This window comes from Homo sapiens, chromosome 14 (assembly GCF_000001405.40).
Source record: "Homo sapiens chromosome 14, GRCh38.p14 Primary Assembly".
Lineage (NCBI taxonomy): Eukaryota > Metazoa > Chordata > Mammalia > Primates > Hominidae > Homo > Homo sapiens.
Window position 1 is genome coordinate 53,070,857 of NC_000014.9, and position 15,967 is coordinate 53,086,823.

The 15,967-nt window shown below is 36.6% G+C and overlaps 1 protein-coding gene across 10 annotated transcripts in view; it reads right to left on the reverse strand.

Moving 5' to 3' along the window:
* Positions 1-15,967, reverse strand: part of DDHD1 (DDHD domain containing 1) — a 116,569-nt gene that overhangs the window by 34,102 nt on the left and 66,500 nt on the right. For all 10 annotated transcript variants that reach the window (XM_017021669.2, XM_005268105.3, NM_030637.3 and 7 more), the window contains 2 exons: positions 2,885-2,991; positions 1,741-1,847 (listed from right to left, as the gene is read on the reverse strand). In XM_017021669.2, coding sequence (XP_016877158.1) covers positions 1,741-1,847; positions 2,885-2,991 — 214 coding nt within the window. The remainder of the gene's footprint in view (positions 1-1,740; positions 1,848-2,884; positions 2,992-15,967) is intronic.

The following is a 15,967-nucleotide window of genomic DNA, read 5'->3' on the forward strand; positions in this document are numbered from 1 at the left end:
TCAAAGCTTAGTTAGGAATATTTTTAGATTAAAAACACTGATGAAAGAAAGCTCCCAGAGAAAACATCGAACCCTTCTTTCTCTTATGAAAGCAGAGGGATCTACAGGCAGCAACACATCTGTTTCAGCATTGGAGAATTTTACTCAGAATTCAGAAACTAAAATGATTTGATATTATAGTACCTGTAATAACAGTAACTCTTGACTACCATGTGCCACATGTTAATATAAGCATTACCTCAATTAATCTTTACAAGAATGCTATGAAGTAGCTACTTGTTAGAATATCCACTTTGCAGATAGAGAAGCCATACAAAAATTAAGTGTTACAGTGGGACTGGAATCAAGCAGTCTATCTCTACAGCCCATATACAATTGGCAAAAAATAATTTCTACTGCATGGTTTTTAGAACAAAAATTGGGGCCATATATGATTATGAGGCAATGTGGAAATGTAATTTATCTTAAGTACTATAACAATAAGTGTAAATGCTTTTTTCAGAGGGAAAAAAAAGAATAATTGCAAATATTTCCACGGTTATCTCTTCCTTCCATACATTTCATAAATGTGGCCCTATGTACTGTAATATTTTAAACTTTTTTGAAGGCACAGACTCCCCCTTGTACAAGATCCTTGTACAGTATCTTATACGTAGTAAGTTCTCAATAAACAAATTTTCAATAAACATGTAGACCATATTCTTAGTTCAAAACACCTTTAACCAGCTGATTCAGTATATGTATATATTATCAAATCTTACCTGGGATTCCTGATAAATAAATTTTACCAAAGTGACTTATCTCACTTTCAAACACTTGCACTGATTTTCCCTGTCTCCCTGCTAATGAAGGGTAACAGTCTGCAGTAAAGTGGCCCCCTGTTAGCTAGTGTTTGGCATAGAGTAGGGCTCACTAAATATTTACTGATTAAAGGCCCAGGAAAGTCAAAATAATCAGCCAATAAATAACAGAGAGACTGGCTATATTGTGAACACAGAAGAGAGAAGCAGTAAACAGAGTAAGCTGTGAAGCTGTATTGCCTGGATTCAAATACTGGCTCTGCCACTTATTAAGTGAGATGCAATGAGCAAGCCTCAAAACCTCTCTTGGCATCAGTTTCCTCATCCTTCAAATGAGGATACTAATCATACCTACTTCACAGGATTTTTTAAAATAAGGGTTAAACAAGTTCACACATGTTAGGCAATTAACAAATGTTAGTTATTCCTACTAAACAGAATTCTCCTTTCCCTCTTATCAATAAAGTGACAGAATGCATTTGGTGGAGATTCTCTCATCTTCTTGAATAAAGCTTCACCTCTCGCCCCCAGTGTTACTCTTGGGAGACATCAGCTCCACTACCATTTGAAAACTGTACGAATTCATTACAGAAGTGAAGCAATAAAAGTCCATCACATACAAAAAGTTTAAAGGACATTTTATGTCTAAAACTCTTTTGTGAAGACAACAATCATAGATATAATTAATTAGATTTATGAAAAATGTCATGTCTCAAAGAACTATTTTCTAAACAGTCCCCCAACCTGAGACCATCTGTTTTATTAAGGGTCACAATGTCTAGTTTGAAGACTATCAAATTTATTAAAAGTAGGCTATTTATAGATTAATGAATTCCTGTAATTTCTCATTTGCTTAAAAAAAACATAAAATGTAAAAATTCAGGACATTTATAAGCTATCACTAAAAAATACCCACCAGCAAGATAATCATGACACTTACTTCATCTCTATAAAGTGGACTAGTATAATACATTATGTCCATTGCACTGCTGTTCAGCATATCCCTTAAACCTCGTACTTTGTCAGGAGTAATGGAATCAACAGTGTCTACAAAAACAAACAAAAAAAGCAAGTTAACTTATAGAAAGTCTCTGTTACAGGAAAGTAATAGTGAAGAAAATTACGTTGCCTGAAATAGTAACTATTTAAGTTAACATTTAAATATTCAAGACCAGCTTTGGCTCTAATGGATCTTCCCTTCCTATAAAATACTTCAAGAAAAAAAAAACAGTAAAAGACAACATAGGAGATGAAAAGAAACATTAAAGGATGAAAGCCATTATCAAATCTATAAAGCGTCACCCTTTTTTGTATGTACTGGCTTTTGCATGAAATTCAGGGATACTCAGAGCAAAATGAGGCCACATATTTAGAACAGGTGTCAAAACACAATCCCAAATGGCAGCTGCTAATATTATATCCAGTATAACAACTCTCTCATTTTGCAGATTATGTAAATAATCTAAACATTCTGTTTTTATGGTTTTAATATTTAACAGACATAACTTTGTGTAAAGAAAGACACATATTTTGGTTGATGACAGCTCTTTAAGGAAGACAACTAAACTGATTTTATTTAAACAAATATACAAATTATCTATGCTAGATTGTAATTCACCAGCCCAGGGAATGTACGAAAAACAACAAAGGAAAACAAAAAACCTGAGATTTTTATCTTCCGATTATGGGGAGAAAATTATTAGAAAGAAAAATGTAAGCTCGTATGGAATTATGGAAAACAAATATTTTTAAAGTACTGACAAATCAACTTCGTGTCAAAAACTTTAGAAAACATTTTGTTCCCACTATATCCCTCCACCTGCCACAATCCAGAGGGCATGCATGAAAACAGTGCTATCTATGAAATCTATGTAATGGTCCAAATGATATTAGTCAGTATAATTATTCTAGAAATCAATGGATTTTATTTTCTTAATCTAGAACAAAGGGTGAGCATATCTCAAGACAATTAAATTGAAGACACTACATTCTCAATTAACAAAAAGTGTTTTCTAAAACTTTCTGCATTTATTTTGGTAAAAGTTTGCCATTGGCTAAATCATTCAATTTTTAAATAAATATACCTCCATCAAGAGTAAGTTTTGACCGCCACTCAACAGGCAGAAATTCAACATGTGTTGCATGGTTGGAAAAATGCCTTTCTTCTATTTTTCTTGCAGCTTCTCTCATCCTAAAAAAACAAACAAACAAAAATGCAAACAAAGCTTTATGAGAATAACTTCACATATAAATTTATATGAGATAAAATGTGTTTAATCATAACACTTCCATTTGCTTATAGCTTTGTCCAGTTACATTCCAGTGACTACCACACTAAACAAGTCTGCAATACTAGGATACCTTCATTTCATGGTTATTTTCCTAAATTTGCCATCTATGATTTCAAATATTCTAAGCTTTTACATTATATTCTAAATAATTATATGTAAGAATTTTTAGTACACAGAATGGCATAATGAATACCTCTGTGCCATCACCCAGCTCCAAATATTAGCAAGTCATGCCCTATCTTGTTTCATCTATTGCTCTCTTCATCCTTTCCATAATATAAATTTTAAAATTTTATTTAAAAATATTAAGATACTATAAAATTGACCCTTTTCTCCCTTTTGGTGTCAGTTATATAAATTTTAGCACATGTGCAGATTTGTGATTAGTATTACAATTACAATTAGTATTAGTATTACAATTAGTATTACCATTCAGAACATGCTATTCTTTTAGTAGTCACTCCCCTCCCCCATATTTAAAAGCAAATCCTAGATATTGCATTATTTTGTCTGTAGTTTAGTATCTACTTCTAAAATATAAGAAAAACATAACCTATTCAGTATTATCATGCCAAAGAAATTAATAATTCTTTAATTTCAGCAAATATGTAGTTCAGTGGTCCTATTTTCCCAGTTGGACTATAAAATATTATTTTAAATTATTTTATAATATTAAAAATTTTTTTACACTTGTTTAAATTCAGCTCTAAATACAATCCATGCACTGCAATTGGAAGACATGTCTCTACTATAGGCTCCTTTCTCTATTTGCCTTGTAAAGGCATACCCTGTTTTACTGCATTCATTTTTTAAAAAATTGCACTCTGCAGATATTGCCTTTTTCTCCACTTTTTAAAAAACTGAAGGTCTGTGGCAACCTTGCATGGAGCAAGTCTATTAGTGCATTTTTCCAACAGCATGTGCTCACTCTGTGTCTCTGTGTCACATTTTGTAATCCTCACAATATTTCAAATTTTCTCATTATTATTACATCCACTATGGTTAACTGCACCTGTATAAGATGAGCTTAATCGATAAATGTATGTGGTCTGACTGTTCCACTGACTGGCTATTCCCCAACCTTTCTCCTGCTCCGAGGGCTTCCGTATTATCCCTGAGACACAACAATATTGAGATTAGGGCACTGAATAATTCCATACTGGCCTCTAGGTGATCAAGTGAAAAGAAGAGTCGCTTATCTCTCACTTCAAATAAAAAACCAGAAATGATTGAGCTTAGTGAGAGAGGCATGTCAAAAGCCAAGCATGCCAAAAGCTGGACCTCTTGCACCAGGTAGCCAATTTGTGAATGCAAGGGAAAAGTTCTTGAAGGAGATTAAAAGTACTACTCCAGTGAACACACAAATAAGAAAATGAAAAAGCCTTATTGTTGATAAGGAGAAAGTTTTAGTGGTCTGGATAGAAGACCAAAACAGCTACAACTTTCCCTTCATTTATGCCAAAGCCTAATCCAGAGCAAGCCTTAACTCTTTTCAATTCTAAAAGACTGAGAGGGGCAAAGAAGCTACCGAAGAAAAGTTTGAAGCTAGCAGGTTGGTGCATGAGGTTTAAGGAAAGAAGCTGTCTCCATTAACATAAAAGTGCGAGGTAAGTGCTAATGTAGAAGCTGCATCAAGTTAAGAAGATCTAGCCAAAATAATCCATGAAGGTTGCTACACTAAACAACATATTCTCAATGTAGACAAAAAAGCCTTTGGACTTTCACAGCTAGAGAGGAGAAGTCAATTCCTGGCTTCAAAGCTTCAAAGGACAGGCTGACTCTCTTGTGAAGAGCTAATGCAGCTGGTAACTTGGAAGTTGAAGCCAATGCTCACTGACCATCCCAAATAGCCTAGGGCCCTTAAGAATTATGCTAAATCTACTGTGCCTGTGCTCTATAAATAGAACAACAAAGCCTGGATAGCAGCACATCTTTTTTACAGCATGGCTTACAGAATATTTTAAGCCCACTGTTGAGACCTACTGCTCAGAAAAAAAAACGATTCCTTTCAAATGGTTACTGCCCGCTGACAATGTACCTGGTCACTCAAGAGCTCTGATGGAGATGTACTAGGAGATGAATGTTGTTTTCATGCCTGCTAACACAATATCCACTCTGCAGCCCACGGATCAAGGAGTAATTTTAACTTTCAAGCCTTATATTTAAGAAACAAATTTTATAATGCTATAGCTGCTATAGATAGTGGATGAATCTGGGCAAAGTAAACTGAAAGTATTCCGGAAGGAACTCATCATTCTAGATGCCATTAAGAACATTTGTGATTCAGTGATTCATGGGGGGTGAAAATATCAACATTCCAGAAGTTTGGAAGAAATGGATTCCAACCCTCATAAATGACTTTGAGGGGCTCAAGACTTCAATGAGGAAGTAACTGCAGATGTATTGGAAATAGCAAGAGAACTAAAATAAGCAGAGTGTGAAGATGTGACTGAATTGCTGCAATTTCATGAGAAAACTTCAGTGGATGAGGAGTTGCTTCTTATGGATGAACAAAGAAAGTGGTTTGAGATGGACTCTTGGTGAAGATGTGAATATTGTTGAAATGGCAACAAAGAATTCAGAATATGCCATAAACTTAGTTGATAAGGCAGTGGCAGGGTTTGACAGGATTGATTCAAATTTTCAAGTAAGTTCTACAGTGGGTAAAACGCTCTCAAACTGCATTGCATGTTACAGAGAAATCTTTCGTGAGAGGAAGAATCAATCGATGTGGCTAACTTCACTGTTGTCTTATTTTAAGAAATTGCCACACCCACCCCAAACTTCGGCAACTACCATCCTGGTCAGCAGCCATCAACATGGACGCAAGACCCTTCAACAGCAAAAAGATGCTGTGAACTCACAGAAGCCTCAGATAATTGGTTAGCGACATTTAGCAGTACAGCATTTTAAAATTAAGATATGTACACGATTTTTAAAGACATTATGCTATCACATACTTGTTTACAGTGTCGTGTAAACATAACTTTTATATGCACTGAGAAGCCAATTTGTGCAACTTGCTTAATTATGATATTCACTTTATTGCAGTGGTATGGAACCAAACCCACAATATCTTTGAGGTATACCTGTAATTTTTTGTGTATGTGTCCTATAGAGTTACTCAGAGTCCGATTTTCATTCACTGCATCCCTATGGTGTTGTTTAACATGTTCTTTGTCCCGTTTCCTATAATTTGGTAGTTAGTTATAGGGGCTTCATCAGATGCAAGCTCTGTTTTGGCGAGACTACTACTCCATATGTACATAGGTACACACAACTTCTTCTCTTTTTAGTGATGATAGCAGTTACTGATGATCATTGTTTAAATCCATTAGTTTATCATGGTGGCAAAAGGGCCTTTTAAATTCCATCACTCTTCATTTGTTTATAGGCTTATACTTCTAGAAAGAGAAATTTCCTTACATTAAATATTTAGCTGCACTGGGGTATAACCAAATAGTTTCTGCATGAACTGAGGCACAGTTAATCTAGAAAAGGTAGGATAAATGGTTAATTCTTCCCTTTATTAACAGTTTTCAAAATAACAAGTCATTAGGTTTTATATATTTTGATGTCATTGCTAACTCACAGATTTAAGCATATTTGATGCATATCAATCCACTGTAGTTATTATCCTTGCCAAGGTTCAAATTGTCTATTTTAGGTCTGTGAATCTCTCCAAGTTGCTTTTGACACAACTTCATTAGTTTTTGTTTTTGTTTTTTTTTTTTAAAAAACAATTGTGGCTTTTAGTATATTCAAAGAGTTATGCAGCTATCACCATTATCTAATTTCATAACACGTTCATCACCCCAGAAAGAAACACCATACCCATTAGCAGTCACTCTCTATCCCTCTTCTTCCCACCTGCCAGCACCCACTAATCTACTTTCAGATTTGTCTATTTTGAACATTTCATATAATCATACAATATGGGGCCTTTTGTGTCTGGCTTTTCAGTTGGTGTAATGTTTTCAAGTCTCATCCATGTTGCATCATAAATCAGTACTTCATTGCTTTTCATTGTTGAATAGTATTTCATTATATGGATACGCCACTTTTGTTTAGCCGCTCATCAGTTGATGGATGTTTGTGTTGCTTCCATTTTTGGGCTATCATGAATAATGCTTCTATGAACATTCTTTTAACAAGTTTTTGTGGACATACATTTTCAGATCTCTTGGGTATACACATAAGCAATATTACTGGCTCATACACTAACTTTAACTTTTGGAAGAACTGCCAAACTCTTTCCAAAGCAGCTGTACTATTTTCTGATCTCACAAGAAACATGTAAGGGTTGTGATTTTTCTTCATCCTAGCTAATACTTGTTAATTTCCATCTTTTTGATAAGAGTTATCCTAGTGGGTATAAAGTGGTACCTTTAAAGTGGTAGCGTTCAAGGTCACATCTAATAACTAAAGATGCTGAACATCTTTTCCTGGATTTATTGGCCATTTGTATATCCTATTTCGACAAATGTCTACTCAAATCCTTTACCCATTTAAAAAAACTGGGGTCTTCCTTTTTTAAAAACTGTTGAGTTGTAAGAGTACTTTATATATCCTGGATCCTAGACCTTTATCAGATATGTGGTTTGCTAATATTTTCTCCCATTCTGAGGGTTGTCTTCATTTTCTTCACTGTCCTTTGAAGAACAAAAGGACTTTTCTACTTATAATGTCATGTCATTTGCAAACGGAGATAGTTTTATCTCTTCCATACTAATCTAGATGCCTTTTATTTCTTTTCTTGCTTAATTGCTCTGGCTGAAACGTACAGTACAATGCTGAACAGAAGTGGTGAGAGTGGATATCCTTGTCTTGTTCCTGATCTCAAGGAGCAGGTTTCAGTCTTTCACTATTAAAGAATAAGTTTAGCCACAGGCTTTTTGTAGATGCCCTTTACCAGGTTGAGAAAGTTGTCTTCTGTTTCTAATTTCCCGAGTGCTTTTATTATGAAAGTATGTTGAGATTTTGTCAAATGTCTTTTCTGTATCTGAAAATCACATGATGTGTTTTTTTTTCCTTCATTCTACACATGTGGTGGATTACCTTGATTAAAAAAAAAATGTTGACCCAATCTTGTATTCCTGGATAAATCCCACTTAGTCATGGTATATAACCATTTATATATGGTGCTGGATTCAAGTTTGTTGGCATTTCATTGACATTTCTGTGGTCTCTATTCAGTAATATTTGTATAGTTTTCTTTTCCTTATGATGCTTTCATTGGTTTTTGGTATCGGGGTAATACTGGCTTCATAGAATGAGCTGGGAAATCTTCCTTCCTCTTCCATTTTTTAGAGAGTTTGTAGAGAAGTGGTGCTAATTTTTCTCTATTTTTTTTTTAAGACACAGGATCTTACTATGTGGCCCAGGCTGAAGTGCAGTGGCTAGTCACTGGAACCGACATGTACTATAGCCTGGAACTCCTGCTTTACTTGTTACAGGTCTACTCAGATTTTCTATTTCTTCCTCGTTACCAGATCAGTTTTCCTAGTTTGTGTCTGTCTTGGAAAGTGATTACTAAAACAGTTTTGGTAGTTTGCTTCTAGAAATTTGTCCATTTAATCTAGGTTATATACTTTGTAGCATAGAATTGTGCATAGTATTCCCTTACAATCCTTTTTATTTCTGTAAGTTTGCTGGTAGTAATGTCTCCTCCTTTATTTTTCATTTTAGTAATTTGAATCTTTTTCTCGTTTGGTCTAGTTAAAATGTTCTCAACTTTGTGGATCTTTTCAAAGAACCAGAGTAATACATACAGATCTTCCCTATTTTACAACTGCATACTACTCCATTATATAAATAAAAGCTGTAGTTTATCAAGCCATCTCTTACTGATGAATATTTGAGTAGTTTCCTACGTGATGCTGCAATCAAAAGCCTTGTGCATGCCTCTTTTATTTTTTGCTGATTTTTTTTGGGATAGTACCTGGAAGTAGGTTTTCTGGGTCAAAGGATAAATACATATGCAATTTTGATAGATACTGCCACATACTCGTTTTCATTGCATTCCATCAGCTGTACAAGAACATCTATTAACTACAGCCTGGCCAAAAAAAGCATGTTGTCAAATTTTGAACTTTTGCTATTGCTAATCTGATAGTTAAGAAATGACATCTGTTTGGGTGCATTGCTCACGCCTGTAATCCCAGCACTTTGGGAGGCCAAGGCAGGCAGATCACTTGAGGTCAGGAGTCTGAGACCAGCCTGGCCAACATGGTGAAATCCCAACTCTACTAAAAAAACATAAAATTAGCTGGGTGTGGTGGTGTGCACCTGTAGTCCCAGCTATTTGGGAGGCTGAGGCAGAAGAATTGCTTGAACCCAGGAGGTGGAGGCTGCAGTGAACTGAGATCATGCCACTGCACAACAGTCTGGGTGACAGAGCAAAACTCTCTCCAAAAAACAAAAAAAAAGACTTTTCACATGGTTAAGAGCCATTTCCTTTTCTGGGAACTACTTGCTTATATCTTTAGCCCATTTTCCTATAAGGTGGTTGAACATATTTTTATTTTTAGAACGATTTTACATATTAAGAATCCTTCATCTGTAAGTTGAAAATGTTTCTTTCAGTTCAACTTAATTTTTCTTTGCCATATATTTTTTTTCCTAGACAATATATTTATCAATATTTTTCCTTATTTCTCGTGGATCAAGTCATAGAATAATTTTCTCTATTCCTAAGTTCTAGAAGAATTCAAACTCTCCTTTAAAAAAATCCCTAATACTTGTATAATTTCATTTCTTTTCCTTCCCCCTTTTTTTTTTTTTTTTTTTTGGAGATGAGGTCTTGCTATGTTGCCCCAGCTGAAGTGCAGTGGCTATTCATAGGTGTGGTTATAGGGCACTACAGCCTCAAACTCCTGGGCTCAAGCGATTCTCCTGCTTCAGCCTCCCATGTAGCTAGGACTATAGGCATGTGCTACCATGTCCTGGTTTCATTTCTTTCACTTAAATGTGATCCAATTGAAATTTATCCTTGTGTGAGAAATGGATCCAATTAATTTTTTTCTATATGCAAATCTAGTTATCCCAATAGTACTTGTTGAGAAGTCTATCTTCATTTTCAGTATATTTTAAAAGACATTGCATTATAATTATGTTTATTGACTGCATATCCCCAAAGTTCGCATTTTAAGAAGCCTAGATTCTACTTTGCCAAAATAAAGATGTGCTTCCCTTATCATCACTGAAAATAAAATGACAGCCAAAACTTTAGACTTGAAGGCAGGATTTCTTTATTATCCACAAAGTCTAAAAGTTCCTTTTTTACATCAGATAAGTAATCGCATAAACATTTTTAAAGTTTCTTTGTCATCTTTTCAAATGTTCAGTTTTAACAAATATGAGTATATGCAAGGAAGAACATATTTAAAAATTTCTAATATTTTTCTACCCACTCATTCAATTTTGATGGCTGTGTAGTTCTTATGTAAATCATTGTGGCATAGTAATTAGGAAGTGGTACATGTGCTGCTGTTTGAATTTGCACACAAAAGAGTTCATTTAGATTAGTGGTTCTCAACCATAGACAATTTTGTACTTCGAGGGACACTTGGCAATGTTTGGAGATATTTTTGGTTCTAACAACTAAGGGTTTTATTTGCATCAGTGAGGAGAGGCAAGGGATACAGTTATACATCTTACAATGCACAGGCCAGCCATCATAACAAAAAATTATCCAGTCAAAAATGTCAATAGTGATGTAGCTGGGAAACCCTAATTTTGAGTTCTCAACTTGGAAACACTACATCTGCTTAAAATGTTGTTTTGTTATAAAGCAAACTTACACAATCCTTCACTCCACAGGATCGCTATCATAATTCTCAAATGATTAAAAACTGATCAAACAGGTATGTCTACTGAATCATTTGGAGTACTGGAGTGACTGTTAAGAAAAAAAAGAAAAGGATGGAAGAAAAATGAAAAAATAATGAGGGAAGGAGAAGGGAGAGGAGGGGGATGGGGAAAAGAGGAAGAGGGAGACAGGGAGAGGGAAGAGAGAAGTTGGATATGTTCTGGCTATACGCCCAAATTTGCCTTACTAAAAACAGTAAAATCTATTTCTTAAATATCTCATAAGAACTACTGAGACCAATGGGAGATAGAGAAAATGAGAAAAAGGAATGATTAAACAATATTATACTATACCTCAGACAATGACCCATTACTGTGCTGCTATGCATGCACAAAAATCATGATTTCAGTCCTGTTATAAGCTTATTTCAATTTCCATGTTCTCTGAGCAATGAATGTTTACTTCATATTGTAAGAAGAGAAGATAGAGATTAATAGCATTTAAGAATTACTGTACAACTGAGGATCATTAAATAGCTGTAAAACATAAGTCTTCATAATTCCTCTCAATTAGAAAAAAATTGGTAAACTAATTGGTTTTAAGAAAATATATGTGTGACATAAATATAGAAAAAAATAGAAAAAGATATAAATAGAAAATCATGAACAGTGATCTCCAAGATACCTTTTTTTTTTTTTTTTTTTTTAAGAGATGAGGTTGGCCGGGCATGGTGGCTCACGCCTGTGATCCCAGCACATTGGGAAGCTGAGGTGGGTGGATCACCTGAGGTCAGGAGTTCGAGACCAGCCTGACCAATATGGTGAAGCCCTGTCTCTACTAAAAATACAAAAATTAGCCGGGTGTGGTGACGTGTGACTGTAGTTCCAGCTACTAGGAAGGCTGAGATAGGAGAATTTCTTCAACCCAGGAGGCGGAGGCTGCAGTGAGCCAAGATCATGCCACCACACTCCAGCTTGGGCGACAGAGTGAGACTCTATCTCAAAAAAAAAAAAAAAAAGACATGGGGTCTTGCTTCATTGTCCAATGCTGCAGTGCACTGGCAACTCACAGGTAGGATCATAGCACACCACAGTCTTGAACTCTTGGGCTCAAGCAATCCAAAATACATTTTTTAAACAAACAAACAAACAAAAAAACAAGGTCCAGAAGTCTATAGCATGCACCTTTTGTGTGGAAAAAAATTTGTGTATGCCTAAAGAAAATCTAGAAGACTCTAAATGGGGACACAAGGACAAAGGATAATGAGGGAAGACGGGGAGAGAAATGAGAATCAGCCTTTTTACTCCATATTTTAATATTTTGTTTTGTGAACTACATGTATGTCCTGTTCAAAAAAATAAGTTTCGTTGATATTCTTGTCACTATTGTTTATTCTCCCATTTTTTTTCTGTACTTACGGGTTTATGCCTTTTTGCTTTTTAAAATTCTTTTTTATATCATGTTCAAAAAGGTTTCAGGAGGGAATAAGATAAGCTCATGTGTTCAACATACTGTGTTTAACTGAAAACCTCTTTATAGTCTTCTAAGATTATAGCTTTAAAATGACTAATTTAGGGTATTAGATATGCCAAGTTCTATGAAGAGTTCCCTTGTAATTAAACTCCACAAAAAGTAAATTCAATTGTATTTAAAATGCCTTCCATTTATCCCTTTTAGTAAACTAATTCTGACATTCCCAGAAGTTGTCTAAAAATTTGCTTCTCAGTCTATGTAAGCGGTAAACATATTTTTCTGGAACAAAGGTGATTGAAGCTAGTCTGAACTAATCATTAGCAAGTTTGCTAAAATAAGGTTAAGAGGGAAAACTCTCTATTCCCAGGAATCTAAGACATGATTTAAAGAAATCCTCAGAGAACAAAAGGCTGTCAAATCAATCACAAGTACACACAAGCTTCAGGATGGCACTGATAAGGATGAAGTTTTGTATAGGCCCGAACACTGAACTTAGGAATGACAGCAAGCAGGGAAATGGTAAGAAATCCTATGGATTTTCCCATCTTTCTCTCTTTTATTATGCAGAATTCCTTTTTATATGAATATTTTCCATTGATTACTAAGTTATGTGTAGAATTTTCCATCAAATTAACCTGTCTACGAAGAAATGATAGCAATGCTCCTTGTAGTGGACACTTGGGTTTTTTTTTGAGCCACCTTGGATTCATTCATCCTGCTTCCAATAATAGCTCTTGATTTTTATCTGTGAATCTAGCTCTTCCTATAGTTAAGATGAAGTCAACTTCCATCTGATTCTAGGTTGGGAATATGACAAGTTTAGCCAATCATACCCTGCTTGGCTACATACATAGATTCAGGAAGTTGGATCAACATCATTAGTCACTAGCTAATGCACAGACTAGCTGGGACTTTTGGAAAAAAGGACTTATTCTTCTTGAATTTGAACACAAGATTATATAAATCACATTTGGAATCAAAGGAGATGTGTGATAATGGCTCCAAAATGAAGGCTATAGAGCAGATAAAACTGGATTTTGATGACTTGCTTGGCAATATGACTCCTAGACTCCTCAGTTTTATGATTTACTAAATCCTGCTTTTGGCTTAAGCCTTTTTGGGTTAGGATTTCCCTCACCTGTACTCAAAGGAATCAAACTGATACCTTCTTATTTATCAATGGCTCCAGAGAGAATATACAAGTAAACCTAGTTCTCAGGTTCCTAGATATTCAAGCAAAATATCTGCATACTAACATATAAATATAAACATCACGGGAAGTAATACATAATTCATCAGAGAGTAAAATCAGGATCAGAGTGAAGAGATTTCTGTAATATAAGCTATGGACATTGAAAAGGATCAAGGTTGGCCTGGCACTATGTGACAAGGTTTTTTCTTTAAAAAGTTGAATTGTGAGGTCTTTTCCAAGATGGTCAAATAGGAACAGCTCTGGTCTGCAGCTCCCAGCTTGATCGATGCAGAAGACAGGTGATTTCTGCATCTCCAACTGAGGTACCTGGTTCATCTCACTGGGACTGGTTGGACAGTGGGTGCAGCCCATGGAGGGCAAGCCGAAGCAGGGTGGGGCATTGCCTCACCCAGGAGGCGCAAGGGGTCTGGGGATTTCCCTTTCCTAGCCAAGGGAAGCCGTGACAGACTGTAATGGGAAAATCGAGACACTGCCACTTAAATACTGTGCTTTTCCAATGGTCTGAGCAAATGTCACACCAGATTATATCCCGCGCCTGGCTCAGCGGGTCCCACACCCACAGAGCCTTGCTCATTGCTAGTGCAGCAGTATGAGATCAAACTGCTAGGCGGCAGCCTGGCTGGGGAAGGGGCATCTGCCATTGCTGAGGCTTGAGTAGGTAAATAAAGTGGCTGGGAAGCTCAAACTGGGTGGAGCCCACTGCAGCTCAATGAGGCCCGCACGCCTCTGTAGACTCCACCTCTGGGGGCAGGGCATAGCTGAACAAAAGGCAGCAGAACCTTCTGCAGGCTTAAACATCCCTGTCTGACAGCTCTGAAAAGAGCAGTGGTTCTCCCAGCACGGGGTTTCAACTCTGAGAATGGACAGATTGCCTCCTCAAGTGGGTCCCTGACCCCTATGCAGCCTAACTGGGAGACACCTCCCAGTAGGGGCCAAAAGACACCTCACACAGCCGGGTGCCCCTCTGAGACGAAGCTTCCAGAGGAATGATCAGACAGCAATAATTGCTTTTCTTCAACATTTGCTGCTCTGCAGACTCCGCTGGTAATACCCAGGCAAACAGGGTCTGGAGTGGACCTCCAGCAAACTCCAACAGACCTGCAGCTGAGGGACCTGACTGTTAGAAGGAAAACAAACAAACAGAAAGGAATAGCAGCAGCATCAACAAAAATGACATCCACACCAAAACCCCATCTGTACGTCACCATCATCAAAGAACAAAGGTAGATAAAACCACAAAGATGGGGAGAAACTACAGCAGAAAAGCTGAAAATTCTAAAACCCAGAGCACCTCGTCTCCTCCAAAGGATCGCAGCTCCTCACCAGCAATGGAACAAAGCTGGACAGAGAATGACTTTGATGAGCTGGCAGAAGTAGGCTTCAGAAGGTTGGTAATAACAAACTTCTCTGAGCTAAAGGAGCATGTTCAAACCCATTGCAAGGAAGCTAAAAACCTTGAAAAAAGATTAGATGAATGGCTAACTAGAATAAACAGTGTAGAGAAGACCTTAAATGACCTGATGGAGCTGAAAACCATGACACGAGAACTACGTGACACATGCACAAGCTTCGGTAGCTGATTTGATCAAGGGGAAGAAAGGTTATCAGTGAATGAAGATCAAATTCATGAAATGAAGCGAAAAGAGAAGTTAAGAGAAAAAAGAGTAAAAAGAAACAAACAAAGCCTCCAAGAAATATGGGACTATGTGAAAAGACCAAATCTACGTCTGACTGGTGTACCTGAAAGTGACGGGGAGAACTGGAACCAAGCTGGAAAACACTCTTTAGGATATTATCCAGGAGAACTTCCCCAACCTAGCAAGGCAGGCCAACATTCAAATTCAGGAAATACAGAGAACACCACAAAGATACTCCTCGAGAAGAGCAACTCCAAGACACATAATTGTCAGATTCACCAAGGTTGAAATGAAGGAAAAAATGTTAAGGGCAGCCAGAGAGAAAGGTCAGGTTACCCACAAAGGGAAGCCCATCAGACTAATGGCGGATCTCTCGGCAGAAACTCCACAAGCCAGAAGAGAGTGGGGGCCAATATTCAACATTCTTAAAGAAAAGAATTTTCAACCCAGAATCTCATATCCAGCCAAACCAAGCTTCATAAGTGAAGGAGAAAAAAATCTTTTACAGACAAGCAAGTGCTGAGAGATTCTGTCACCCCCGGGCCTGCCTTACAAGAGCTCCTGAAGGAAGCACTAAACATGGAAAGGAACAACTGGTACCAGCCACTGCAAAAACATGCCAAATTGTAAAGACCATTGATGCTGGGAAGAAACTGCAGCAATTAATGGGCAAAATAACCAGCTAACATCATAATGACAGGATCAAATTCACACATAACAATATTAACCTTAACTGTAAATGG